Source organism: Homo sapiens, chromosome 19 (assembly GCF_000001405.40).
Source record: "Homo sapiens chromosome 19, GRCh38.p14 Primary Assembly".
Taxonomy (NCBI): domain Eukaryota; kingdom Metazoa; phylum Chordata; class Mammalia; order Primates; family Hominidae; genus Homo; species Homo sapiens.
This window is the reverse complement of record NC_000019.10, coordinates 42,741,809-42,769,368: the sequence shown is the minus strand read 5'-3', so window position 1 is coordinate 42,769,368 and position 27,560 is coordinate 42,741,809. Positions and strand designations below refer to the sequence as shown.

General features: G+C 45.3%; 1 protein-coding gene across 7 annotated transcripts, besides 1 other annotated feature; it reads left to right on the top strand.

The window, feature by feature from the left end:
* The first annotated feature begins 3,690 nt into the window (after nucleotides 1–3,690).
* PSG8 (pregnancy specific beta-1-glycoprotein 8) lies at nucleotides 3,691–16,683 on the top strand. 7 transcript variants are annotated; one of them, XM_047438848.1, is made up of 6 exons: nucleotides 3,691–3,851; nucleotides 10,428–10,753; nucleotides 11,089–11,367; nucleotides 14,103–14,381; nucleotides 14,782–15,036; nucleotides 15,993–16,683. In XM_047438848.1, the coding sequence occupies exons 2-6, from the start codon at nucleotides 10,663–10,665 to the stop codon at nucleotides 16,007–16,009; spliced, it is 921 nt and encodes a 306-aa protein (XP_047294804.1). In that variant the 5' UTR covers nucleotides 3,691–3,851; nucleotides 10,428–10,662; the 3' UTR covers nucleotides 16,010–16,683. The 7 variants fall into 7 exon arrangements, with proteins under 7 accessions (XP_047294804.1, NP_001123639.1, NP_001123640.1 ...); NM_001130167.2 differs by lacking the exon at nucleotides 10,428–10,753 and adding an exon at nucleotides 5,088–5,453; NM_001130168.2 differs by lacking the exon at nucleotides 10,428–10,753.
* Nucleotides 27,312–27,527: a silencer, noted in NCBI's record as "fragment chr19:43245994-43246209 (GRCh37/hg19 assembly coordinates)". NCBI's record gives its function as "represses an EF-1alpha promoter that drives an FKBP-Casp9 reporter gene in an ReSE screen in HepG2 liver carcinoma cells {active_cell/tissue: HepG2}" and the evidence as "EXISTENCE:reporter gene assay evidence [ECO:0000049][PMID:32094911]".

The following is a 27,560-nucleotide window of genomic DNA, read 5'->3' as shown; positions in this document are numbered from 1 at the left end:
CGCAAGAACAAAAAACCAAACACCGCATATTCTCACTCACAAGTGGGAATTGAACAATGAGAACACATGGACACAGGAAGGGGAACATCACACTCTGGGGACAGTTGTGGGGTGGGGGCAGGGGGGAGGGGTAGCATTGAGAGATATACCTAATGCTAGATGATGAGTTAGTGGGTGCAGCGCACCAGCATGGCACATGTATACATATGTAACTAACCTGCACATTGTGCACATGTACTCTAAAACTTAAAGTATAAGAATAATAATGATAAAAAAAACACTATTAAACAGAAAAAGAAAAAAGAAAAAAATGAAAATAATTCAAGTGCTCATCAACACATAAATAAATAAATATGGTGACACATACAACAGAATGTTAATCTGCCATACAGAGGAATGAAGCTCTGACACCCGCTGGAACATGCATGGACTTTGGAAACATTATGCTAAGTGAAATATGTCAGAAACAAAATAACATAATTGTATAATTCCATTTATATGAAACATCAAGAACAGGCAAATTCATAGAGACAGAGTAGAGAAGATCAAGGTCTAGGGTGGAACATACAGGGAGTTATTGTTTAAAAGATACAAAGTTTCAGTTTAAAATGATAAAAATTTTCTAGGAAAAATAGTGGTGATGGTAATTTAACACTGTGTATGTGGTTAATTTCATTTGATTCAGCATTTTAAAGTGGTTACAATAGCACATTATTCACAGAACTGTGAAAAATAGATTTCTATTATTTAATTCACCCAGGCTAAGGTGTTTGTTATGGCAGCCGAAGCCCATGAATACATCATCTGACCCAGTGTTTCAATGAAAGGCATCAGATTTTCAATCAAGTTAGCTGGAAGCTCCTGTCCCCAGGAGAACCAGACGCCCCAAAACAAGAGCTCCAGCAGGGGCTCAACCAGCACAGGTCCCATAAGGCAGCCTCAATGTCAGGCCCTGGATGGCATGTGAGGCTACAATAATACAACCACAACGTGAAAATGTAAGTATTTTTACTACTTACAGACACTAGGAAGCACTCGGCAAACCTGGAGACCACAGACACAGAGGTCAGTGAGCCCAGACAGGGAGGAGAGAAGAGACCGGTGAGCCAATGGCTTTATTAAGTCCAGGGTGTTATCTGACAGGTTTCCAGCAGGGAGCTTTAATGGATGTGTTCAAAGCAAGCAGCAAACACTGGGACCAGGAGCTCACGCTGTGACTGAGAGGTGGTCACTTTAAATGTGAGGGCAAATGTCAGAATTATCAGTTTAAAGAAAGCAGCTGGAGAGAGGGAAACCCAGCACACCAAGCAGCAGAGATGCCTCTAAGATTTTATCTCTGGACACCAACTGGAGCCACTTGAACCAGACACAGTATTGAAAACTGCCATGGTGACCAAGCCCTGCCTCTGATTTGAGGCAAATAAACTTACACCTTATAAAAATGAATGCCAAGACAACATGACACTATGAGCATCATGACATCCAGGGACACCAGCAGGGTGTGGTACTGTGCCCTGGAGTCAGAATCCAGGGTTCTGGTCCCTGGGAGTAAGAAAATGAAAATGACTTGTCCCTGCCCCCTGACATTGATCTTCCCACCCTGCTGCTCCCTCTTCTGCTTCCAAGCCCAATTGCAGTGCTCAGCCCCAGACATCACTGCCCCCAGGGTATACACAGTGCCGCCTACTGCACACAAACACAAACTCACAGAAGGTGACAAAAATCTGCGTTTGGGACATCTGATTGTGAAAGAGGGAGAACAGTGAACATAGAGCCACACAGACTGGGACTCACGGGGCTGGAAGGTGAAGGAGCTGTAACATAACATATGTGTGACCTCGTGTGAAGTGTGCAGATCCATGTGGAATAAAACATGCAGCCTGGCCTGGGATTGCTGCCGTTCACACTTCCCTCCCTGTCCACCAGAGGGGGACAGAGTCCCTCCCAGCCTGGAGCCTTCCCAGGGGATGCCAACCTCACTCAGCGGAACCCACAGCCCAGCAGGGTCCACCCTCACCAGGGTCACTTCGGCCCAAGTCCTCAGCGCCCTCCATGCTCCCCACACGGACTCTGCCAGCTCCACCCTGACCTGGTGGCCGCCAACCTAACACCACTCCCTCTGCAGGGAGCTCCTCCCCACACACCTGCTCCTTCCCTGGGCCCAGCTAAAGGCATCTCCCAGGGCAGCGCTGGTGCACGCGACGCCACACTAGGCGCTTTCCCCTCGTGGCCTCCCTCCATCCTCATCAACTCTTTCTGTCACTGCTCCCTAAATGCCCGCCCCTGCCCCATCTATCCTGTTCTCTGGGGCATCCCAGGCCAAGCCTAGCACTGACACAGAACAGCAGCTGCCTAAGGGCCCACAGCCTCCCCGGGAATCAGCCAGGCACCCTATGACCTGCCTGCCCGCTGCACCACGGGGTGCTCAGAGTGCGTGTGATGGTCACACACAGGCACCATCCGGGATGTGGCCACCTGCCCCAGCTGTCCCTTGGGAAGGCAGACCTCTCCTGTGCGCTTGCAGGGAGAAGCGGGATGTTATTGCTCTTTGCTCCCAGAACACAACTCACCCCCACACGCCCCCTCAGGTGTGAGCAAGGTCCCTCCAGACAGGCTCTCTGGCCACTGCCTGTTCCTCCTCTACACACAGCAGCTTGGCCAGGTCAAAACCCTCAGGACAGACCCCTGGGTATGTCGGCACATGGAGGGCTGAGCCCATCATGGCCACGGAGTAAGTCAAGATGAATCTCTCCAGCTCTGAACCCCTGCTCTGTCCCAGGCACACCCTCTTGCGTCTCAACGAGCCATCTCCCTTGGGGTTCCTGGGTGACTCCCCACTTCCTCCTGCACCACCACGGGGAAGGTGTGGTGACCACAGGACAATCAGCTGGGCAGAGAAGAGAGGACATCAAAGATGGTCAGGAAGAACATGAGAAACCCTGAGCTCCAGCTCAGTGGCCAGACCCCACGGAGTCACAGAGTGACCGAGAACTGTCCCTTTGACTATGGGACTCACAGCCCCCACTGAGCAACCAGCACAGGCCTCTCCTCCCAAGAGACATGAGAGATTCACCCTGCACACCTCCAGGAAGGACAGTTTCCTCTGGGACACCCAGGTCCTGAGTGTCCATCCTTGGAAGCTGCAGCCAAGCTAGACACGATTAGAGAAAGGAAGGGTCCCTCTCACCAGGCAACACACAGCTCACCCACAGCACAATGGGGTGTCACTGTGACAGGGACCTGGTGCAGCTCCAGCCTCCTGCACTGAAGGGGAGAGCCAGATGGGGATGAAAGAGGCCAAAGGGCATGAATGTGCACCCCGACCCAGAGCCATGGGGACAGCAGGAGGCTGAGGCCCAGGACTCTGCTTGCCCAACCTGCAGGGTATGTTTCTGACTGTGTAGGTCTGTGTGTGTCCTTCTGTGTGTGTGTGTGTGTGTGTGTGTGTGTGTGTGTGTGTGTGTGTGTGTGTGTGTGTCTGCACAAAGTGTGTGTTGAGGTTTGGTGAAAGAATCACTGCTGAAAAAGGCAGAGGCCTCCACAATTCCCAGGGACCTGAAACACAGACAAAAGGAAAAACAGGAGGGACAAGGAGGCAGGACTGAGAGAGGAGGGGACAGAGAGGTGTCCTGGGCCTGACCCCGCCCATGAACCTGAGAGGTGCTCCTGCCCCGGGAAGAAGCTCAGCGCAGAAGGAGGCAGGACAGCACTGCTGAGAGCTGTGCTCAGGAAGCTTCTGGATCCTAGGCTCATCTCCACAGAGGAGAACACACAGACAGCAGAGACCATGGGGCTCCTCTCAGCCCCTCCCTGCACACAGCGCATCACCTGGAAGGGGCTCCTGCTCACAGGTGAGGAGAGAACCTCCTGGGAGAGGACAGGAGGAGGAAGCAGAGTGACTGGATGGGGTCTCCTTGAGAGTATGGGGTACTAAAAAATGAAAGAAGCCAGCACTTTGGGAGGCTGAGGCAGGTGGATCATGAGATCAGGAGTTCAAGATCAGTCTGGCCAACACAGTGAAGCCCTGTCTCTACTAAAAATACAAAAATTTAACCAGATATTGTGGTGTGCTCCTCTAATCCTAGCTACTCGGGAGGCTGAGGCAGAAGAATCACGTGAACCCAGGAGGCAGAAGTTGCAGCTAGCTGAGATAGTGCCATCGCACGCCAGCCTGGGAGACAGTATGAGACTCCATCTCAAAAAAAAAAAAAGAGAAAAAAGAGAAAAAGGAAAGAAGGCTCTATTGGAGCCTGGATAGGGGGAAATACACCAGAGAGGGACAGGGGTCAAAACAGGAAAGTCACAGGAACCAGAATTGGTAAGAGGTAGGAAAATCTTGTGTTCTGTTTTCCTGATTAATCATCAGGGGCCACCACATTTTGAAATATGATAATAATAACTGTATCAGATGACACTTCACATAAAAATATACACAGGGCATGAAACACTGTCCTCAGCAAGAAACCTCAACAATTGGGGGGAAAAAAAAACACCAAGGGCGTGGAGGGCCCTGAGAACTCTCACATCTACAGGAGTCTGCAGCCTGTTCTGGGCACTGGGGTGCAACCAAGATCACAAAAATCCCTGTCCTCATGGAGCTCACGCTGTCATGGAGGGGAAGACAGACATGCAAAGAGATCTAGAATGTAAGGTCAGGTGTTGAGAAGAACCCTGGAGGGAGCAGAGCAGGGAAAGGTCAGAAAGGGAAGACCCAGGGTATCTGAAGGAGGTGTCAGGAAAGAAATCTAAGGATGCCCTGATGTGAGCAGGACCTGAGGGCAGTGTGGAGGGGGCCATGCGGACCCCTGGGGAAGAGGATTGCAAACAGAAAAATGCCAAGGTCAGAAGTGTTGAAGGAATGGGGGTCATGGGGCTGACCTTGACCTAGTAGGATAGTAGGACACACACACATACACACACACAGACACACATGCCGCTTTTGTGTGTGTGTGTGCGTGTGTTTGTATGTGTGTGTGTCTGTGTCTTCAAGGCTGAGGACTGAAGAGAACTTCTCAGGACCCAGGGCCCCATGTTTTCACACCAATACATAGCTCTCAATATTGACTGATGCTCTCTCCACCTCCTAGCATCACTTTTAAACTTCTGGAACCCACCCACGACTGCCCAAGTCACGATTGAAGCCCAGCCAACCAAAGTTTCTGAGGGGAAGGATGTTCTTCTACTTGTCCACAATTTGCCCCAGAATCTTACTGGCTACATCTGGTACAAAGGGCAAATCAGGGACCTCTACCATTACATTACATCATATGTAGTAGACGGTCAAATAATTATATATGGGCCTGCATACAGTGGACGAGAAACAATATATTCCAATGCATCCCTGCTGATCCAGAATGTCACCCAGGAAGACGCAGGATCCTACACCTTACACATCATAATGGGAGGTGATGAGAATAGAGGAGTAACTGGACATTTCACCTTCACCTTATATCGTGAGTGATTCCACATGATCCCTGGGTGTTGGGGGACAGGGGTCACTTCTACTTCACACACACAGGATTGTCAGGCCTGGACATTGCCTGTGTCCCTCTCTGCATTATGTCCCATGCTGGGGTTTGGGCATTTAGTGCAGGACACACACAGAGGAGACAAATTTCAACAGATCAGAATTCCTTTCCCGCATCCAGACCCTGCAGACACTCGCTGCAGAGGAAGGACAGTCTGATGGGGGGACTCAGCAGGAGGAGATCAGTCTCAGACAAGCACCTCATGCCCTCTTCATAAATTTGACCCTGAGAAAGACCCTGGAGAACTGAGTAGGGCTTGGCCTGAGGAGCCCCTGAGATACTCTCAGAGAAGCTCAGCCCTAGAAGCCTCACCCCCAGAACAGTGTCCCTAAATCCTTGCTCCAGATAAATCTGAGGAGCCTGTGCTGGGGCTGGGTTGTGGCTTCTTGGGCAGGGCTTACTGGGACCGAGGATTTACCAGCTGTCAGAGGACTGTGTCTCCTGGAGCTGTTCACCAGCCAGGGCTCAGCCCTCAGAGCCTCATCTGGGCAAGGACAGAGTTTTCTTCACCTGACACTCAGAGTGGAGAGGACAGAAAGACAAGCTTTGTAGGCCATCAGACAACTGCCTTAGGAGGCTTAGGCCAGTCCATAGAAAGTCTAATGTCCCCAGAAGCAGAAACACAAGAGAGAAGATGTACCTGGTAGCAGCTTGCCCACAGGGATCTGACGCAAAGGGGCTTTCTCATGGAAGCAAATTAATAATAAATGCTATTTGTGTGAAACCTCCACTGTGCCAAGCATTAGGTCAGGTGACTGTGAATCATTTAACATTTATTCACAGATAGCATGAAAAGCCACTGTCCATTTGCCATTTAGCTTATCTGATTGACAGAAAACTGAGGTACAGGAAGACACAGTCCCTGAGCCAGAGTCACACAATCACAAAGGGGAGATCAGGGTCACATGAGGTGTGTCCGCAGCCACAGGCTCATCCTCTCCTCCACCAGAAGTGAGGGCTCACTGGCTTCCAAGCACCCCATAGTCATTTATTGGCTCAAAACCTCTCTTCTTAGGCATCCAAACCTCAGAGGAGTGAGAGAAAATGGTCAACTGATTAGTCTGTACTCCAGAACTAAATCACCTGCCTCAACCATCAGAGTCAGTGGAAAAAACATGTCCAGGCCTCCCCCTCAGATCTTAGCCCCCATCACTGAACCTGAAATCCTGTGTTTCCCAAAGTGTCCATGTCACTGTCATGAGAGGATCAAGGAGAGGACCTTTTCTTTCCCCACTCACACCCTACACCAGCACAGGCCCAGCGAGACAGACACACACTCAGGAGCTCTCACATAACAAATGAAGGAATGGAATGAAATGAATGATCCAAAACCTCTTTAGAGACTGAATTTGCATGCAGAATCCTAGGAGTTTCTAGCCACACCTGTCCCTTGTCCTTCAGAGGCTGACACCCATGTTTCATCCCCCCACTACCTCTTGCCCCTAAAGCCACCCCAGCTCATGTAATTCTGAAGCTCTTTGGCCACTGGAGGGTTCTCAGGGCTCTTTGGTCCTGGACTGTGGAGCTGGGGGCACCTGGTCCCTGGGGTTTTTGAAGTCAGTGTCTCCCTCACTGCTCACTGCCATGGTGTCTCTGCCTCTCTCTGCTTCTCTGTGTCCCTCATCTTCCTCCCACTTCATTCTGACTGGCAAGCCCTGTCCTGCACAGCTTCTTCCCCCACCCCTAGGCCTTCCCCAGACACTCCCTCTGACTAGGCTGGCTGTTCTGTTCCCTTCCCACTAACACTGTGGCCTGGCCCACCTCCCAGGAAATAGGAAAGGTGCAGAAATCACCTGGAGTTGCCACTCCTGCCAGGCTTCATCTCGAGCCAATGTCCCCAGGTCACTAAGAGAATGAGCTTCCACTGTATTCCCATCCAGGGCTCTTTCCCTTTGTGAGGCTGACCTGTGGACAAGACAATGGGACAGGGATAGGCAGTTCCTCCATCCACTCATAATTGCCAGGCAAGTTCTTCTGGCCTCCTGCACAAAAAAAAAAAAAAAAAAAAAAAAAAAAAAAATTATTGAAATGTTGGTTTCTAGTCAAGAAAGATTTTAACGACTCCAAGTCTGCCAAACAGGAGGACAGAGGTTTATTATTACTCAAATCAGCCTCCCCAGTGGATCAGGGGTTAGAGATATTCAAGGGTAGTTTCAGGAGCACAGGACTAAAAAATAAGTACTGCTGATTGTTTGGTGATGGAATCATGTGGGCGGAGGGAAATGATCTGTTTGCCCTTAAATCTGACTCTAGGTAGGGACCACATGACTGGCTGAGCCATTAGTCATAGGTATGGATGAGGTCAGCCGGTTGCCAGAATGCAAAAGAATGAGAAACATCTCAAAAGACCAATCTCACGTTCTACAATAGTGATGTTATCTATAGGAGCAATTAGTTACAACTTTTGTAAACTCTTGCCAAATGACATCGGAGCAGTCAGGGATTATAGAAACTGTGCCAACATTTTAGCAGAATTCAGTTCCCTCCTATAACCTTAATCTCATGGTCTTTCACTAGTTTTACAAAGGCAGTCCCTGGGCAAAGTAAGGGTGTTAGTTTTATGGAGGAACTATTATCATTCTTGCTTCAAATTTAAACCATAAACTAAATTCCTCCCAAGGTTAGCCTGGCCTATGCCCAGCAATGAGTGAGGACAGCCAGCCTGAGACTAGATGCCAGATGGAGTCAGGCATGCTAGTTTCCTGTCACTGTTGTAATCTTTGCACGGACTCACCAGGGTGTCAGAGGCTGGACAGGCCTGCAGTCCCCAAAGCCCATGGGCTCATTTCGCCCATGACTCCATCCTCAACCTGCTATGGAGCTCACATTCTCTGGTCACTTCCTAGAGACTTCTGGCTTCCTGTCAGGCATATAACAAGCTTGAAATTTGTCATTCGGTTCTAACACTAAGTAAAAAGCTGAACAAACTCAAAAGTCAACAACTCGTTAAACTCCCTCAGAGATGGCTGGGCACAGTGGCTCACACCTACAATACCAGCACTTTCGGAGGCCGAGGCGGGCACAAGGTCAGGAGATAGAGACCATCCTGGCTAACATGGTGAAACCTCGTCTCTACTAAAAATACAAAAAATTAGCCAGCCATGGTGGCGGGCCCCTGTAGTCCCAGCTACTTGGGAGGCTGAGGCAGGAGAATGGCGTGAACCTAGGAGGCAGAGCTTGCAGTGAGATGAGATCATGCCACTGCACTCCAGCCAGGGTGACAGAGTGAGACTCTGTCTCAGAAAAAAAAAATGCTGTTAGAGAAATGAAGAATGCTTTTGATGCTTACTGGTAGACTGCACACAGCTGAGGAAAGAATCCCTAGCTTGAGGATACGTCAATAGAAACTTCCAAAACTGAAACAGGAAAGTTCAAAAAGAGTGGGGTAAAAAAGTGGAACAACATTTCAACTTCATATTTAATATTTTGTTTTGACAATAGCAATTTTTAAATTTTGTAGCTGTGGGACAACTACAAAGGCTGTAACATACATGTAATGGGAATACTGGTGGTTTTGGGGACCAGTTGGAGGTGGCCAGGTGGGTGCTATCTGATGGTTTTACTGCCTTTGCCACATACAACTGTTTCCTCATGTTGATGCCATTTTCATAAGTTGGAGTTCTGCGTGTGGGGAGACACATGAGCCATTGCCATCTCACTTAGACTCTTCCTAATTCACACAAACTTAAACTCTAGTGGTGTTTCCTGAGCTTAAGAGAAAATGAAGAAAGCATTTCACATACCTGTTTTGGGGTCCTCCCCATTTTTCCTAACTCTGCACAGAATTTAGAAGCAGGGAGTTCTTTCTATATTTACTAACATAACACACATCACTTCTTTTAATTTGGCATCATTCCTCCCTTTATGTAATTGACACACTACCCAGTTCGGTCCTTTTAACGGGACTCTCTCTACTTAAGGAGTTGCTAATTTCAAATCACCATTGGCATCTTTCTTTGAGCATAATGTGATCCTGCTGGAATTCATGGCACACCTAAACCTTATGTTGGTCTCAAGAGAAATACTACTACCAGCAATTGATCTTAGATGTTTGGACCATCAGTAAAAATTTCCACTCATGAAAACATTTTAATGTTTCCTCCAAATATTTTTTGTTACTAGAGTCAGAACATAACATGAGGTCTAAACTCCTGACAACTTTTTATGGGAAAATTACAGTATTACAAATTGAGCATCCCAAATCCAGAAATCCACAATCTGAAATGCTCCAAAACTCAACACTTCTGACCACTGATGTGATGCTAAAAAGAAGTGCTCACTGGCGCATTGTGCATTTTAAATTTTTCAGATTTGGGATGCTAAACCAGTACATGTACTGCAAATATTCCAAAACAAAAAAAAATTAGAAATCCAAAACACTTTGTTTTAAGCCTTCTGCATAAGGAGCACTTTATCTGTATGAACTATAGACATGAGGCTGTACAGGAGATCTCTAGAACCTCCTCATCCTGCATAACTGAAACTGCACAACCATGGAACAACGCCCTATTGCCCTGATCCCAGCTCGTAGAAACTCCTATTCTACTCTCTGATTCACTCTGGAATCCACTGATATCAGGTACATAGAGTAGTCAAATTCAGAATCAGAGAGTAGAATGTCTAATGAGAGAAAGTATCTGCAAGGCTTCTTCCCAAATATTGGTCTAATATCCACCAAACACATATGGTCCATGAGGGCCAGACTTCCATCATCTGTTCATGTTCGCCCTTTCCACCAGTCGGTTCTGCATTTGCAAACATCCACATGTATTTCCAAAAAGATCCACATGGTCCTCACCTGCCCTCTACAGGGGGAAGGGAGCATCATGGATCCAGAACAGGGAACGTGGTCTTGGTCCAAAGCTATCAGTTCTTGCCTGTCCCCTTCACTCTCTGTAGGTCATTCCTTGGACTCTGCTCTATCTTTAGAGGTCACTGGCTCAAGTCAGCCACTATGAGACACCTGGGAAAACTGCGCCACCTTGTGGCTCCACTGCCTGATGACTGAACTGACCTCCGGACTTGACTCTGTTCTCCCCTGTGTTATTTCTGCTGAAGTACCCAGTCCCAGGCCAGGCTTTCCAGTACCCAAAGGGTTTAAAGACAATTGGAAGTTCCATCACCCATCTCTAGGATGTCCTTGGCAAGGGAAGCTGCAGAGAAAACATACCTTGGGCGGCAAAGTAAGACTGAAACTAAGAAGATTCCAGCACTGCATGCTCCAAGTGAGGACCACAAGGTGGGCCAGGCAGGCAGTTGGAGACGGAGGGACTCAGAGAGGCAACAGGGGCTGTGACTGCTGGTCCTGTGTCTTTCCATGACCCAATGCTGCTGCTCAATTCACACTTGAGAAAGTCTGTGTTTCTACATGAAGCAGGCAGCCTCACAACCTCTGAGCCCTCAGATTGCCCTGCATCTGTCTTGCAACACACACACCTGCCATGGGCTTTTAAGGACTTGGGTGGGCTGAGAGGTGGGAAATGCCAACTCTGATTGAAAAATGCCTTTGGAGGAATCAAAGGTGCCACACAGGGCAATCTTCTCTCTGTTTTCTGCACAGTGGAGACTCCCAAGCCCTCCATCTCCAGCAGCAAATTAAACCCCAGGGAGGCCATGGAGGCTGTGAGCTTAACCTGTGATCCTGAGACTCCGGACGCAAGCTACCTGTGGTGGATGAATGGTCAGAGCCTCCCTATGTCTCACAGGTTGCAGTTGTCTGAAACCAACAGGACCCTCTTTCTATTGGGTGTCACAAAGTACACTGCAGGACCCTATGAATGTGAAATACGGAACCCAGTGAGTGCCAGCCGCAGTGACCCATTCACCCTGAATCTCCTCCGTGAGTATTTTCTGTTCCTCTGTGAGCCAGGCTGCCATCCCAAATACACGTGGCCAGAGACCAGGCCTCTCAGTCCCTCTCAGGTCCAAGTACAGAGACCTTTACCCCTGGACATCAAACCTGGCCATGACTTTCTGCCCCAGGCAAACCAGAGTAGGCCTAGGCTTGATCAACAATAGGAGAAAAGAGGCTGCTCCTGTCATGGGAGACTCAGCGTCCACAGCTTGTGATGGGAGAAACAGGTGAATGTCTCAGGCTCCAGATCAGTGAACACAGCTGGGATTTGGCTGGGACTTCAATGTTGTGACTTGGCTCACAGGGTCACTGTGATTGTGGTGCTTCCACAGACGAGATTTTCCCTTCCCTCTGAAAATATCGCCTGTGACATTATTCTCTTTGCTCCACATGGCCTGGATGCCCCCACCATTTCCTCCTCATACACCTATTACCATACAGGGGAAGTCCCCAAGCTCTCCTGCCTCACAGACTCTCACCCACTGGCAGAGCATTCTTGGCTGATTGATGGGAAGTTCCAGCAATCAGCACAAGTGTTCTTTATCCCCCAAATCACTAAAACATATAGAGGGGTCTATGTCTGTTTCATCCATAACTCAGCCACTGCTGGAACAAATCTCATAATCAAGAGGATCATAGTCCCTGGTAAGTGGATCCCTGGAGCATTGGCACTATGTTTTCCAGTGAAGTCTATCTAGTTATCAGGGAAGAGCCACCTGCCCTCTGCAAAGGGAGAGGGAAAATCAAAAACCCAGGACAGGGAATATGTTTCTGCTCCAAAACCACCAGCTTTTGCCTGTCCCCTTCACTCTTTCTAGATCATTCTTTAGACTATACACTAACAATGAACAATCCGAAAGGAAATTAAGGAAAGAATTTCAGTTCACATTAACATCAAAAGGAATAAAATATTTTGGAATAAGTTTAACCAAAAAGTCAAATGATTATACCCTGAAAACTACAAAAGATTGCTGAAACAAGTTAAAGACGATATCAATATATGGAAACACATTTCATTTTCATGGATTGGAGGAATCAATATTGTTAGAAAGATAATATTCCCAAAGTGAGTTGCGGATTCAATGTAACACCTAACAGAATCCCAGTAACATTTTTTGCAGAATTAGAAAACACTGTCCTAAATCTCACCTGACAGGCTCTTATTAATGACTGCCACAACAGATACACTGAGAAAAAGAGGCAACCATGAAAAGGTGGAAAGTTCTGATGACATAGAAAATAGCAATCAGCCTTCAAAGGCTTCACATCCCAAAGCCTTCAAAAATATACGAGTGAGGCATGGCCAGTATGGAATTCACCGAAAACTAATCACCAAGCTAGAAAAGTGGTGAGAGAAAAAAAAAGGGCAAGAATATCTTTGGCTTATCACCTCCCACTTTTGCCTACTAATCTGATGCTGAAAAGAAATGCTCACTGGAGCATTTTAGATTTTGAATCTTTCAGATTTGGGATGCTAAACCAGTAAGTATATGACAAATATTTCAGAATCAAAAAATGTCAGAAATCCAAAACACTTTTTGTCCTAAGTCTTATGCATAAGAAATACTCAATTTGTGTGAACTATAGGCATCAAGCTCTACAGCAGATCTCTAGAACCTCCCCACCTTGCATAAATGAAACTGCACACCCATGAACAACTTCTGATTCTCCCCACTCCCAGCTCCTGGCAACCAGCAGTCTCTTCTCATATTCACTCTGGAATCCACTTACATGAGGTCCCTAGAGTAGTCGAATCCAGGGAATCAGAGAGTAGAATGTCCAGTGAAAGAAAATATTCCCAAAACTTCTCTTCAAATTTGTCTCATATCCATCAAACACACATGGTCCATGAGGACCAGATTTCCAGCAGATCCTTCCCACCCTTTCTACCAGTCAGTGCTGCATTTGCAAATGTCCACATATATTTCTGGAAAGATCCACATGGTCCTCACCTGCCCTCTGCAGAAGGAGAGGAAACTTGAACGCAGGACAGGCAACATAGTTCTGCTCCAAAGCCACCAGCTCTTGCCTGTCGCCTTCACTCTTTCTAGATCATTCCTTGCACTCTGCTCTATCTTTAGAGGTCACTGGTTCAAGTAAGTCATCATGAAACACCTGCAAAAAACTGCCCCACCTTGAGCCTCCACTGCCTGATGACTGAACTGACCTCCAGGCTTGATTCTGGTCTCCCCTGTGTTATTTCTGCTGAAACATCCAGTCCCAGGCCAGGCTGCTCAGTATCTTCAGGGTTTCAGGACCATGGGTAGTCCCATCATTACTCATCTCTAGAATGTCCTTGGAAATGGAAGCTGCAGAGAAATCACATCTAGGGGGACAATGTAGGATGGAATTTGGAAGGGGCCCACCAGTTGCACATTCCAGGTAAGGAACCCAGGGTGAGCCAGCCAGTCAACTGATTAGGGAGGGACTGGGAGGGATACCAGGGGCTGTGACTTCCACTGACGTGTCTGTCCATGACCCAACACTGCTGCTCAATTGACACTTGAGAAAGTCTGTGCTTCCCTAAGACAGAGCAGCTGGCCTCATAGTCTTTGAGCCCTTAGATCATCATGCATCTGTCTTGTGACACACGCACCAGCTATTGGCTTTCAAGGACTCGGGTGGGCTGAGAAGTGGGAGATGCCAACTCTGATTGAAGGATGCCTGTGGAGGAATCAAAGGTGCCACACAGGACAATCTTCTCTCTGTTATCCACACAGCGAAGCTGCCCAAGCCCTACATCACCATCAACAACTTAAAACCCAGGGAGAATAAGGATGTCTTAAACTTCACCTGTGAACCTAAGAGTGAGAACTACACCTACATTTGGTGGCTAAATGGTCAGAGCCTCCCGGTCAGTCCCAGGGTAAAGCGACCCATTGAAAACAGGATCCTCATTCTACCCAGTGTCACGAGAAATGAAACAGGACCCTATCAATGTGAAATAAGGGACCAATATGGTGGCATCCGCAGTTACCCAGTCACCCTGAATGTCCTCTGTGAGTATCTTTTGTTCCTCTGTGGGCCAGGACACCAGCTTAAATCAAAACGACCAGAGGCCAGGCCTCTCACTCTCTCTCTGGTCCAAGTATAGACACCTTCACTTCTGGACATCCGAGCTGGCCATGACTCCCTGCCCTGGGAAAACCTGGGTAGGCACAGCCTTAACCAAGAGTATAAGGGGAGTGGACGCTCTTGTCATGGGAGACTTGGGGCCCACAGCTTGTGATGGGAGAAACAGGTGAATACCTGAGGATTCGGCTCAGTGAACATAGAGGGGGTTGGGCTGGGACTTGAGGGTGTGTCTTGGCTCAGAGGGTCACTGTGTCCCTTTAAGAGACCAGGAACATCCCCTTCCCTCAGATGACATCACCTGTGGCTTTATTCTCTTTGCTCCAGATGGTCCAGACCTCCCCAGAATTTACCCTTCATTCACCTATTACCGTTCAGGAGAAGTCCTCTACTTGTCCTGTTCTGCGGACTCTAACCCACCGGCACAGTATTCTTGGACAATTAATGGGAAGTTTCAGCTATCAGGACAAAAGCTCTTTATCCCCCAAATTACTACAAAGCATAGCGGGCTCTATGCTTGCTCTGTTCGTAACTCAGCCACTGGCAAGGAAAGCTCCAAATCCATGACAGTAAAAGTCTCTGGTAAGCGGATCCCAGTATCCTTGGCAATAGGGATTTAGGTGGAGTCTATCTGGCCTTCAGGGAAGAGTCAGGAAAACATTTTTATTCCCAGCCTGCGTCCCATGGGCACAAGCAAATCCCAAATTCTCCTCCTAAACCCTCCAAATTTGTCTAAGAACTTTGAAAACTTTAACAAACAGGCTGATATCTTCATAAAATTCCCAGCCTAGACCAAGCAGGAAAAACATTGATTTCAATGAAATAATTGATAATAATGAGGATAATGTTTTTATGATTTTCATTTGAAAATTTGCTGATTCTTTAAATGGTTTGTTTTCTACATTGACGGAATTTTTCTCTTTTAACCTATCTGTAGCTTATAGCAGTTCAATAAACTATACCGCAGTTTATTGAACTGTAATTGAAATATTTACTTTTGCTTTCTACCTGACTGCCCCAGAATTGGGCAACTATTCATGAGAATTGATATGTTTATGGTAATACACATATTTGCACAAGTACAGCAACAATCTGCTCTCTTTGTAACAGGACACATTTCAAATCATTGGTTATATTACCAAGGCTTTGACTGGGATGTTATATTTAAGGATATAGATAGAATGAACCAGTATGAACTGCAGGCAAAGTCTGAAGTCAGCCTTGGTTTGGCTTCCTATTCTCAAGAGTTTTGTAAAAGTTTAATCTCAGATTCCTTATAAAAACTTAGAGAAAAGAAAATTTTAAAAGAGAGCCTACACGGTCCATTGCTACTCTTGCTGCACTTATGTAAACAATCAGACCACGTTTGAAGAAACTCAACCTATTTTGCAAACAAACTTATTCTACTGAAATTATCATTGGTAAAACTAGAGATGCCCATAGAGAGAAAAATTATGTGGAAAATAAAAACTGTAGTACACCTGTTATGAGATTGCATCTCTGTTCATTGTTTCTGTGTTTTTATTATCCACCTGTAGACTGGACATTACCCTGAATTCTACTAGTTCCTCCAATTCCATTTTCTTCCATGGAATCGCTAAGAAAAAGACCCACTCTGTTCCAGAAGCCCTATAAGCTGGAGGTGGACAACTCAATGTAAATTTCATGGGAAAACCCTTGTACCTGAAGGGTGAGCCACTCAGAACTCACTAAAATGTTCGACACCATAACAACAGATGCTCAAACTGTAAACCAGGACAACAAGTGGATGACTTCACACTGTGGACAGTTTTTCCCAAGATGTCAGAACAAGACTCCCCATCATGATGAGGCTCTCACCCCTCTTAACTGTCCTTGCTCATGCCTGCCTCTTTCACTTGGCAGGATAATGCAGTCATTAGAATTTCACATGTAGTAGCTTCTGAGGGTAACAATAGAGTGTCAGATATGTCATCTCAACCCAAACTTTTACATAACATCTCAGGGGGAAATGTGGCTCTCTCCACCTTGCATACAGGACTCCCAATAGAAATGAACACAGAGATATTGCCCGTGTGTTTGCAGATAAGATGGTTTCTATGAAGAGGTAGGAAAGCTGAAATTATAATAGAGTCCCCTTTAAATGCACATTCTGTGGATGGCTCTCGCCATTTCCTAAGAGATACATTGTAAAATGTGACAGTAATACTGATTCTAGCAGAATAAAACATGTACCACATTTGCTAATACTGTTCTCTTAAAATAATTTCAAAAGAATGGGGTGGGCCCTCCCATGTGTCCAGGCCAGGTCTCTGAAAAGAATCCTCCATCTGCAGTAACAATGCCTAAGAAGATGACATGGACTTGGTCCTGATATGCAGCTATTCCTGTATACCCTTCCCCTGCTGCAGGGCCTTACCAACCCAGGGCCCAAATCTTCAGCTGCAGAGCTGAGAGAGAACATGCGATAACTGGCATCCCTTACCTTCTTCCAGTCCACTGCAGTGGCTACTGGCATGGTCCATTTACCCCTGAGGACACCCATCTGCTGACCCACAGTTTCTAAGAGTCAGACTTTCCTGGTTTCTCTGAGCCCCAGCTGCTTTCACTCTGCTGAACCCTTCTTCTCACCACAGGTGGCATTGCCTTAGCAGACACCTCTTTCAGCTGCAGCTAACAGGTAAGCCAAGACCCAGACCCCAGAGGATAAACAAGGATTTCAAAACCTACTGTGTCCAATGGAGATGCCCACTTGTGGGCAGCAAGTCACCCAGGTGCCGAGGCAAGAGACCGAGGGCATGAGCTGTTCCAGTATAATAAGATATAAAAGAAGAATAGTTATACCAGATATAGATCTTAGATACGATTATATATGAATATTATTAATCACTACTTGGTAGCAATTACTCTTTATTCCAGTATTAAAATAATCCTCATTTCTATAATCATAACCTAGGAAAAGCCAGGCCATACAGAGATAGGAGCTGAGGAGACATAGTGAGAAGTGACCAGAAGACAAGAGGGCGAGCCTTCTGTTATGCCCAGACAGGGCAACTAGAGGGCTTCTTGGTCTAGCGGTAACGACAGCGTCTGGGAAGATGCCCATTGCCAAGCGGGCCCTGGTCTAGCAGTAGCCTCAGTGTCAAGGAAAAACACCAGCTACTTAGCAGACTGGGAAAGCTACTTAGAGTCTCCCTTTCCCCGTGGGAGTTTAGAGAGGACTCTACTCCTCCACCTCTTGTGGAGGGCCTGACATTAGTCAGGTCCACCCGCAGTTATCTGGAGGCCTGACCGTCTCCCTATGATGCTGTGCTTCAGTGGTCACACTCCTAGTCTGCCTTCATGTTCCATACTGTTCACCTGGCTCTGCTGTTTAGTTAGCAGTAGCAAATTAGTGAAAGTACTAAAAGTCTCTAATAAGCAGAAATAATGCTGTAAGCTCTCTCTCTCTTTCTCCTCTCTCTCTCTGCCTCAGCTGACAGGCAGGGAAGGGCCCCCTGTCCAGTGGACATGTGACCCCTGTGGCCTTACCTATCATTGGAGATGGCTCACACTCCTTATCCTGACACTTTATCTTGTATCCAATAAAAATCAGTGCAGCCTGGCATTCGGTGCCACTACTGGTCTCTGCGTCTTGGTGGTAGTAGTCCCCCGGGCCCAGCTGTCTTTTCTTTTATCCCTTCGTCTTGTGTCTTTATTTCTACAATCTCTCATCTCTGCATATGGAGAGAAAAACCCACCGACCCTGTGTGGCTGGTCCCTACACCCACTGTACAGAGACATAAAGAAGTAGAGATGTATACAACTCCCCCAACAACATTGTATCCCAAAACAACATCATCTCTGCCCCTCATCATGGAATTCACTGTCTCTCACCATGTGGGCAAGTGCTTCCAGAGTCACAATTCTTCCACAAGAGTCAATGCACACTTTAACACAGCACTTCAGCAAATAAAGTGGTGACAGTTTACCTACTTAGATTAAGTTTCTTAAAAGATTCTCCCAAATTTCCCCATGAAGAAGACAGAAATGGCTTTCCCAATTGTGAAACATTGGCCTCCCCACCTTTCAAAAAAGGACCCCTGAATAGCCAAAACAATCTTGCCAAAATAAATTGTAGGACTTGAATTTTCTTATTTGAAATCTCACAAAGCAGTACAATTATTAAAACAGAAGTTGCTGCCAAAGAATAGACATAAGCTGCTGGCAAAAGAATGGACATAAAGACAAATGGGATAGAATTGAGAGCCTAGAAATAAACCCTCACACTTATGGTCAATTACTCTTTGAAGAGGGTGTCAAGACAATTTAATGGAGGAACAATTCTCCTTTCTAATGATAGTGCAGAAACAACTAGATAACCACATGCAAAACAGTGAATTTAGATAACTCTACCTCCCACCATATCAAACAATTCTCTAAAAAATTGATCAGTGAGTTAAATATAAGACCTATAACCATAAAAACATCTTAAAATAGACATAGAGGTAAATATTAATGACCTCAAATGTGCAATGGATTCTTAGATATGACACAAAAGCATAAGAAACAAAAAAAAGATAAATTGGGCTTTATAAAGATGTGAGCATTTTGTGCATCAAAGGAAAATATCAAGAAAATAATTAATAGACAAGGAATGAGAGAAAATATTTGCAAACCACATATAGGCAGTTTTCATGTCCAGATAATATCAAGAACTAGCTACAACTCAATAACAAAGTGAGAAACCATCCAATTTATAAATGGACAAAAGACTCAAATAGACATTTCTTCAAAGAAGATATACAAATAGTCAAGAAGGACATGAAAAGATACTCAACATCATTAGTCATTAGGAAAATACAAAGTCAAAGCTGCAATGAGACACCACATCACACCTACAAAACTGGCTACCATTCTTTTAAATTGTAAAATAACAAGTGGCAGCATTATGTAGAATTTGGAATCCTCATACATTGCTGGTGAGAATATAAAAAGGTACAGCCACTAGGAGAAACAGTTTTGCTGTTCCTCAAAAAGCTAATTATAGGGTCCTGGAGCCAAGATGGCCGAATAGGAACAGCTCCAGTCTACAGCTCCCAGCGTGACAGACAGCACCTGGAAAATTGGGTCATTCCCACTCTAATACTGCGCTTTTCCGATGGGCTGGAAAAATAGCACACCAGGAGATTATATCCCGCACATGGCTCAGAGGGCCTTATGCCCATGGAGTCTCACTGATTGCCAGCACAGCAGTCTGAGATCAAACTGCAAGGCAGCAGCGCAGCTGGGGGAGGAGCGCCCACCATTGCCCAGGCTTGCTTAGGTAAACAAAGCAGCCGGGAATCTCGAACTGGGTGGAACCCACCACAGCTCAAGGAGGCCTGCCTGCCTCTGTAGGCTCCACCTCTGGGGGCAGGGCACAGACAAACAAAAAGACAGCAGTAACCTCTGCAGACTTAAATGTCCCTGTCTGACAGCTTTGAAGAGAGCAGTGGTTCTCCCAGCATGCAGCTGGAGATCTGAAAACGGTCAGACTGCCTCCTCAAGTGTGTCCCTGACCCCTGACTCCCGAGCAGCCTAACTGGGAGGCACCCCCCACTAGGGGCAGACTGACACCTCACACGGCCGGGTACTCCTCTGAGACAAAACTTCCAGAGGAACGATCAAACAGCAGCACTTGTGGTTCACGAAAATCCGCTGTTCTGCAGACACAGCTGCTGGTACCCAGACAAACACGGTCTGGAGTGGACCTCTAGCAAACTCCAACAGACCTGCAGCTGAGGGTCCTGTCTCTTAGAAGGAGAACTAACAAATAGAAAGCACATCCACACCAAAAACCCATCTGTACATCACCATCACCAATTACCAAAACTAGATAAAACCTCAAAGATGGGGAAAAAACAGAACAGAAAAATGGAACTCTAAAAAGCAGAGTGCCTCTCCTCCTCCAAAGGAACGCAGTTCCTCACCAGCAATGGAACAAAGCTGGATGGAGAATTACTTTGATGAGTTGAGAGAAGAAGGCTTCAGACGTTCAAACTACTCCAAGCTACAGGAGGAAATTCAAACCAAAGGCAAAGAAGTTGAAAACTTTGAAAAAAATTTAGACGAAGATATAACTAGAATAACCAATACAGAGAAGTGCTTAAAGGAGCTGATGGAGCTGAAAACCAAGGCTCAAGAACTATGTGAAGAATGCAGAAGCCTCAGGAGCCGATGCGATCAACTGGAAGAAAGGGTATCAGTGATGGAAGATGAAATGAATGAAATGAAGTGAGAAGGGAAGTTTAGAGAAAAAAGAATAAAAAGAAATGAGCAAAGCCTCCAAGAAATATGGGACTATGTGAAAAGACCAAATCTACGTCTGATTGGTGTACCTGAAAGTGACGGGGAGAATGGAACCAAGTTGGAAAACACTCTGCAGGATATTATCCAGGAGAACTTCCCCAATCTAGCAAGGCAGGCCAACATTCAGATTCAGGAAATACAGAGAACGCCACAAAGATACTCCTCGAGAAGAGCAACTCCAAGACACATAATTGTCAGATTCACCAAAGTTGAAATGAAGGAAAAAATCTTAAGGGCAGCCAGAGAGAAAGCTTGGGTTACCCACAAAGGGAAGCCCATCAGACTAACAGCGGATCTCTCGGCAGAAACTCTACAAGCCAGAAGAGAGTGGGGGCCAATATTCAACTTTCTTAAAGAGAAGAATTTTCAACCCAGAATTTCATATCCAGCCCAACTAAGCTTCATAAGTGAAGGAGAAATAAAATACTTTACAGACAAGCAAATGCTGAGAGATTTTGTCACCACCAGGCCTGCCCTAAAAGACCTCCTGAAGGAAGCACTAAACATGGAAAGGAATAACCTGTACCAGCCACTGCAACATCATGCCAAATTGTAAAGACCATCGAGACTAGGAAGAAACTGCATCAACTAACCAGCAAAAGAACCAGCTAACATCATAATGACAGGATCAAATTCACACATAACAATATTAACTTTAAATGTAAATAGACTAAATGCTCCAATTAAAAGACACGGACTGGCAAATTGGATAAAGAGTCAAGACCCATCACTGTGATATATTCAGGAAACCCATCTCACGTGCAGAGACACACATAGGCTCAAAATAAAAGGATAGCGGAAGATCTACCAAGCAAATGGAAAACAAAAAAGGCAGGGGTTGCAATCCTAGTCTCTGATAAAACAGACTTTAAACCAACAAAGATGAAAACAGACAAAGACAGCCATTACATAATGGTAAAGGGATCAATTCAACAGGAAGGGCTAACTATCCTAAACATATATGCACCGAATACAGGAGCGCCCAGATTCATAAAGCAAGTCCTGAGTGACCTACAAGGAGACTTGGACTCCCACACAATAATAATGGGAGGTTTTAACACCCCACTGTCAACATTAGACAGATCAATGAGGCAGAAAGTTAAAAAGGATACCCAGGAATTGAACTCAGCTCCGCACCAAGCGGACCTAATAGACATCTACAGAACTCTCTACCTCAAATCAACAGAATATACATTTTTTTCAGCACCACACCACACCTATTCCAAAATTGGCCACATACTTGGAAGTAAAGCTCTCCTCAGCAAATGTAAAAGAACAGAAATTATAACAAACTATCTCTCAGACCACAGTGCAATCAAACTAGAACTCAGGATTAAGAAACTCACTTTAAACTGCTCAACTACATGGAAACTGAACAACCTGCTCCTGAATGACTACTGGGTACATAATGAAATGAAGGCAGAAATAAAGATGTTCCTTGAAACCAGCGAGAACAAAGACACAATATACCGGAATCTCTGGGACACATTCAAAGCAGTGTGTAGAGGGAAATTTATAGCACGAAATGCCCACAAGAGAAAGCAGGAAAGATCCAAAATTGACACCCTAACTTCACAATTAAAAGAACTAGAAAAGCAAGAGCAAACACATTCAAAAGCTAGCAGAAGGCAAGAAATAACTAAAATCAGAGCAGAACTGAAGGAAATAGAGACACAAAAAACCCTTCAAAAAATTAATGAATCCAGGAGCTGGTTTTTTGAAAGGATCAACAAAATTGATAGACTCCTAGCAAGACTAATAAAGAAGAAAAGAGAGAAGAATCAAATAGATGTAATAAAAAAATGATAAAGGGGTTATCACCAGCGATTCCATAGAAATAAAGACTACCATCAGAGAATACTACAAGCACATCTACGCAAATAAACTAGAAAATCTAGAAGAAATGGATAAATTCCTCGACACATACACCCTCCGAAGACTGAACCAGGAAGAAGTTGAATCTCTGAATAGACCAATAACAGGATCTGAAATTGTGGCAATAATCAATCGCTTACCAAACAAAAAGAGTCCAGGACCAGATGGATTCACAGCCGAATTTTACCACACGTACAAGCAGGAACTGGTACCATTCCTTCTGAACTATTCCAATCAATAGAAAAAGAGGGAATCCTCCCTAACTCATTTCATGAGGCCAGCATCATCCTGATACCAAAGCCGGGCAGAGACACAACCAAAAAAGAGAATTTTAGACCAATATCCTTGATCAACATTGATGCAAAAATCCTCAATAAAATACTGGCAAACCAAATCCAGCAGCACATCAAAAAGCTTATCCACCATGATCAAGTGTGCTTCATCCCTGGGATACAAGGCTGGTTCAATATATGCAAATCAATAAATGTAATCCAGCATATAAACAGAACCAAAGACAAGAACCACATGATTATCTCAATAGATGCAGAAAAGGCCTTTGACAAAATTCAACAATGCTTCATGCTAAAAACTCTCCATAAATTAGGTATTGATGGGACATATCTCAAAATAATAAGAGCTATCTATGACAAACCCACAGCCAATATCATACTGAATGGGCAAAAACTGGAAGCATTCCCTTTGAAAACTAGCACAAGACAGGGATGCCCTCTCTCACCACTCCTATTCAACATAGTGTTGGAAGTTCTGGCCATGGCAATTAGGCCGGAGAAGAAAATAAAGGGTATTCAATTAGGAAAAGAGGAAGTCAAATTGTCCCTGTTTGCAGATGACATGATTGTATATCTAGAAAACCAAATTGTCTCAGCCCAAAATCTCCTTAAGCTGATAAGCAACTTCAGCAAAGTCTCAGCATACAAAATCAATCTACAAAAACCACAAGCATTCTTATACACCAACAACAGACAAACAGAGAGCCAAATCATCAGTGAACTCCCATTCACAATTGCTTCAAACAGAATAAAATACCTAGGAATCCAACTTACTAGGGATGTGAAGGACCTCTTCAAGAACTACAAACCACTGCTCAATGAAATAAAAGAGGATACAAAGAAATGGAAGAACATTCCATGCTCATGGGTAGGAAGAATCAATATTGTGAAAATGGCCATACTACCCAAGGTAATTTACAGATTCAATGCCATACCCATCAAGCTACCAATGACTTTCTTCACAAAATTGGAAAAATCTACTTTAAAGTTCATATAGAACCAAGAAAGAGCCCACATCGCCAAGTCAATCTTAAGCCAAAAGAACAAAGCTGCAGGCATCACGCTACCTGACTTCAAACTATACTACAAGGCTACAGTAACCAAAACAGCATGGTACAGGTACCAAAACAGAAATATAGATCAATGGAACAGAACGGAGCCCTCAGAAATACTGCTGCATATCTACAACTATCTGATCTTTGACAAACTTGAGAAAACAAGCAATGGGGAAAGGACTCCCTATTTAATAAATGGTGCTGGGAAAACTGGCTAGCCATATGTAGAAAGCTGAAACTGGATCCCTTCCTTACACCTTCTAAAAAATTAATTCAAGATGGATTAAAGCCTTAAACGTTAGACCTAAAACCATAAAAACCCTAGAAGAAAACCTAGGCATTACCATTCAGGACATAGGCATGCGCAAGGACTTCATGTCTAAAACACCAAAAGCAATGGCAACAAAAGCCAAAATTGACAAATGGGATCTAATTAAACTAAAGAGCTTCTGCACAGCAAAAGAAACTACCATCAGAGTGAACAGGCAACCTACAAAATGGGAGAAATCTTTGAAATCTACTCATCTGACAAAGGGTTAATATCCAAAATCTACAATGAACTCAAACAAATTTACAAGAAAAAAACAAACAACCCCATCAAAAAGTGGGTGAAGGACATGAACAGAAACTTCTCAACAGAAGACATTTATGCAGCCAAAAAACACATGAAAAAATGCTCACCATCACTGGCCATCAGAGAAATGCAAATCAAAACCACAATGAGATACCATCTCACACCACTTAGAATGGCAATCATTAAAAAGGCAGGAAACAACAGGTGCTGGAGAGGATGTGGAGAAATAGGAAGACTTTTACACTGCTGGTGGGACTGTAAACTAGTTCAACCATTGTGGAAGTCAATGTGGCGATTCTGGAACTAGAAATACCATTTGACCCAGCCATCCTATTACTGGGTATATACCCAAAGGACTATAAATCACGCTGCTATAAAGACACATACACACGTATGTATATTGCAGCACTATTCACAATAGCAAAGACTTGGAACCAACCAAAATGTCAAACAATGATAGACTGGATTAAGAAAATGTGGCACATATACACCATGGAATACTATGCAGCCATAAAAAATGATGAGTTCATGTCCTTTGTAGGGACATGGATGAAATTGGAAATCATCATTCTCATAAACTATCGCAAGAACAAAAAACCAAACACCGCATATTCTCACTCACAAGTGGGAATTGAACAATGAGAACACATGGACACAGGAAGGGGAACATCACACTCTGGGGACTGTTGTGTGGTGGGGGGAGGGGGGAGGGATAGCTTTAGGAGATATACCTAATGCTAAATGACGAGTTAATGGGTGCAGCACAACAGCATGGCACATGCATACATATGTAACAAACCTGCACATTGTGCACATGTACCCTAAAACTTAAAGTATAATAATAAAAAAAAGCTAATCATAGAATTCTCATTTGAAACAACATCTATTCCTAGGTATATACCCAAAGAATTAAATCCAGGGACTCAAACAGGTACTTGCATGGGAATGTTCATTGCAGCATTATTCACAAAAGATAAAATATGAAAACAATCCAAGTGTTCATCAACACATGAATAAACAAATATGGTGACACATACAACAGAATGATAATCTGCCATAAAGAGGAAGGAAGCTCTGACACCCGCTGGAACATGCATGGACTTTGGAAACATTATGCTAAGTGAAATATGTCAGAAACAAAATAACATAATTGTATAATTCCATTTATATGAAGCATCAAGAATAGGCAAATTCATAGAGACAGAGTAGAGAAGATCAAGGTCTAAGGTGGAACATACAGGGAGTTATTGTTTAAAAGATACAAAGTTTCAGTTTAAAATGATAAAAATTTTCTAGGAAAAATACTGGTGATGGTAATTTAACACTGTGTAAGTGGTTAATTTCACTTGATTATGCATTTTAAAGTGGTTAAAATAGCACATTATTCACAGAACTGTGAAAAATAGATTTCTATTATTTAATTCACCCAGGCTAAGGTGTCTGTTATGGCAGCTGAAGCCCATGAATACATCATCTGACCCAGTGTTTCAATGAAAGGCATCAGATTTTCAATCAAGTTAGCTGGAAGCTCCTGTCCCCAGCAGAACCAGACGCCCCAAAACAAGAGCTCCAGCAGGGGCTCAACCAGCACAGGTCCCATAAGGCAGCCTCAATATCAGACCCTGGATGGCATGTGAGGCCACAGTGATACAACCACAACGTGAAAGTGTAAGTATTTTTACTACTTACAGACACTGGGGAGCACTTGGCACACCTGGAGACCACAGACACAGAGGTCAGTGAGCCCATGGAGAGAGGAGAGAAGAGACCGGTAAGCCAATGGCTTTATTAAGTCCAGGGTGTTATCTGACAGGTTTCCAGCAGGGAGCTTTAATGGATGTGTTCAAAGCAAGCAGCAAACACTGGGACCAGGGGCTCACGCTGTGACTGAGAGGTGGTCACTTTAAATGTGAGGGCAAATGTCAGAATTATCAGTTTAAAGAAAGCAGCTGGAGAGAGGGAAACCCAGCACACCAAGCAGGAGAGATGCCTCTAAGATTTTATCTCTGCACACCAACTGGAGCCACCTGAACCAGATACAGTATTGAAACTGCATTGGTGACCAAGCCCTGCCTCTGATTTGAGGCAAATAAACTTACACCATAAAAGATGAATGACAAGGCAACATGACACTATGAGCATCATGACATCCAGGGACACCAGCAGGGTGTGGTACTGTGCCCTGGAGTCAGAATCCTGGGTTCTGGTCCCTGGGAGTGAGAAAATGAAAATGACTTGTCCTTGCCCCCCTGACATTGATCTTCCCACCCTGCTGCTCCCTCTTCTTCTCCCAAGCCCATGTGCACTGCTCAGCCCCAGACATCACTGCCCCCAGGGTATACACAGTGCTGCCTACTGCACACAAACACAAACTCACAGAAGGTGACAAAAATCTGCATTTGGGACATCTGATTGTGAAAGAGGGAGAACAGTGAACATAGAGCCACACAGACTGGGACTCACGGGGCTGGAAGGTGAAGGAGCTATAACATAACATATGTGTGACCTCGTGTGAAGTGTGCAGATCCATGTGGAATAAAACATGCAGCCTGGCCTGGGATTGCTGCCGTTCACATTTCCCTCCCTGTCCACCAGAGGGGGACAGAGTCCCTCCCAGCCTGGAGCCTTCCCAGGGGATGCCAACCGCCCTCAACGGAACCCACAGCCCAGCAGGGTCCACCCTCACCAGGGTCACTTCGGCCCAAGTCCTCAGCGCCCTCCATGCTCCCCACACGGACTCTGTCAGCTCCTCCCTGACCTGGGGGCCGCCAACCTAACACCACTCCCCCTGCAGGGAGCTCCTCCCCACACACCTGCTCCTTCCCTGGGCCCAGCTAAAGGCATCTCCCAGGGCAGTGCTGGTGCACGCGACACTACACTGGGTGCTTTCCCCTCGTGGCCTCCCTCCATCCTCATCAACTCGTTCTGTCACTGCTCCCTAAATGCCTGCCCCTGCTCCATCTGTCCTGTTCTCTGGGGCATCCCAGGCCAAGCCTAGCACTG

What these genes read in the sequence shown, in the direction of transcription:
- PSG8 (NM_182707.3), top strand. Translation starts at nt 3,788, where the DNA reads ATGGGGCTCCTCTCAGCCCCTCCCTGCACACAGCGCATCACCTGGAAG. An exon ending in ATTCACCCTGAATCTCCTCC is followed by an intron (nt 11,368 to 14,102) that starts GTGAGTATTTTC and finishes TTATCCACACAG; the next exon opens with CGAAGCTGCCCAAGCCCTAC. An exon ending in AGTCACCCTGAATGTCCTCT is followed by an intron (nt 14,382 to 14,781) that starts GTGAGTATCTTT and finishes TCTTTGCTCCAG; the next exon opens with ATGGTCCAGACCTCCCCAGA.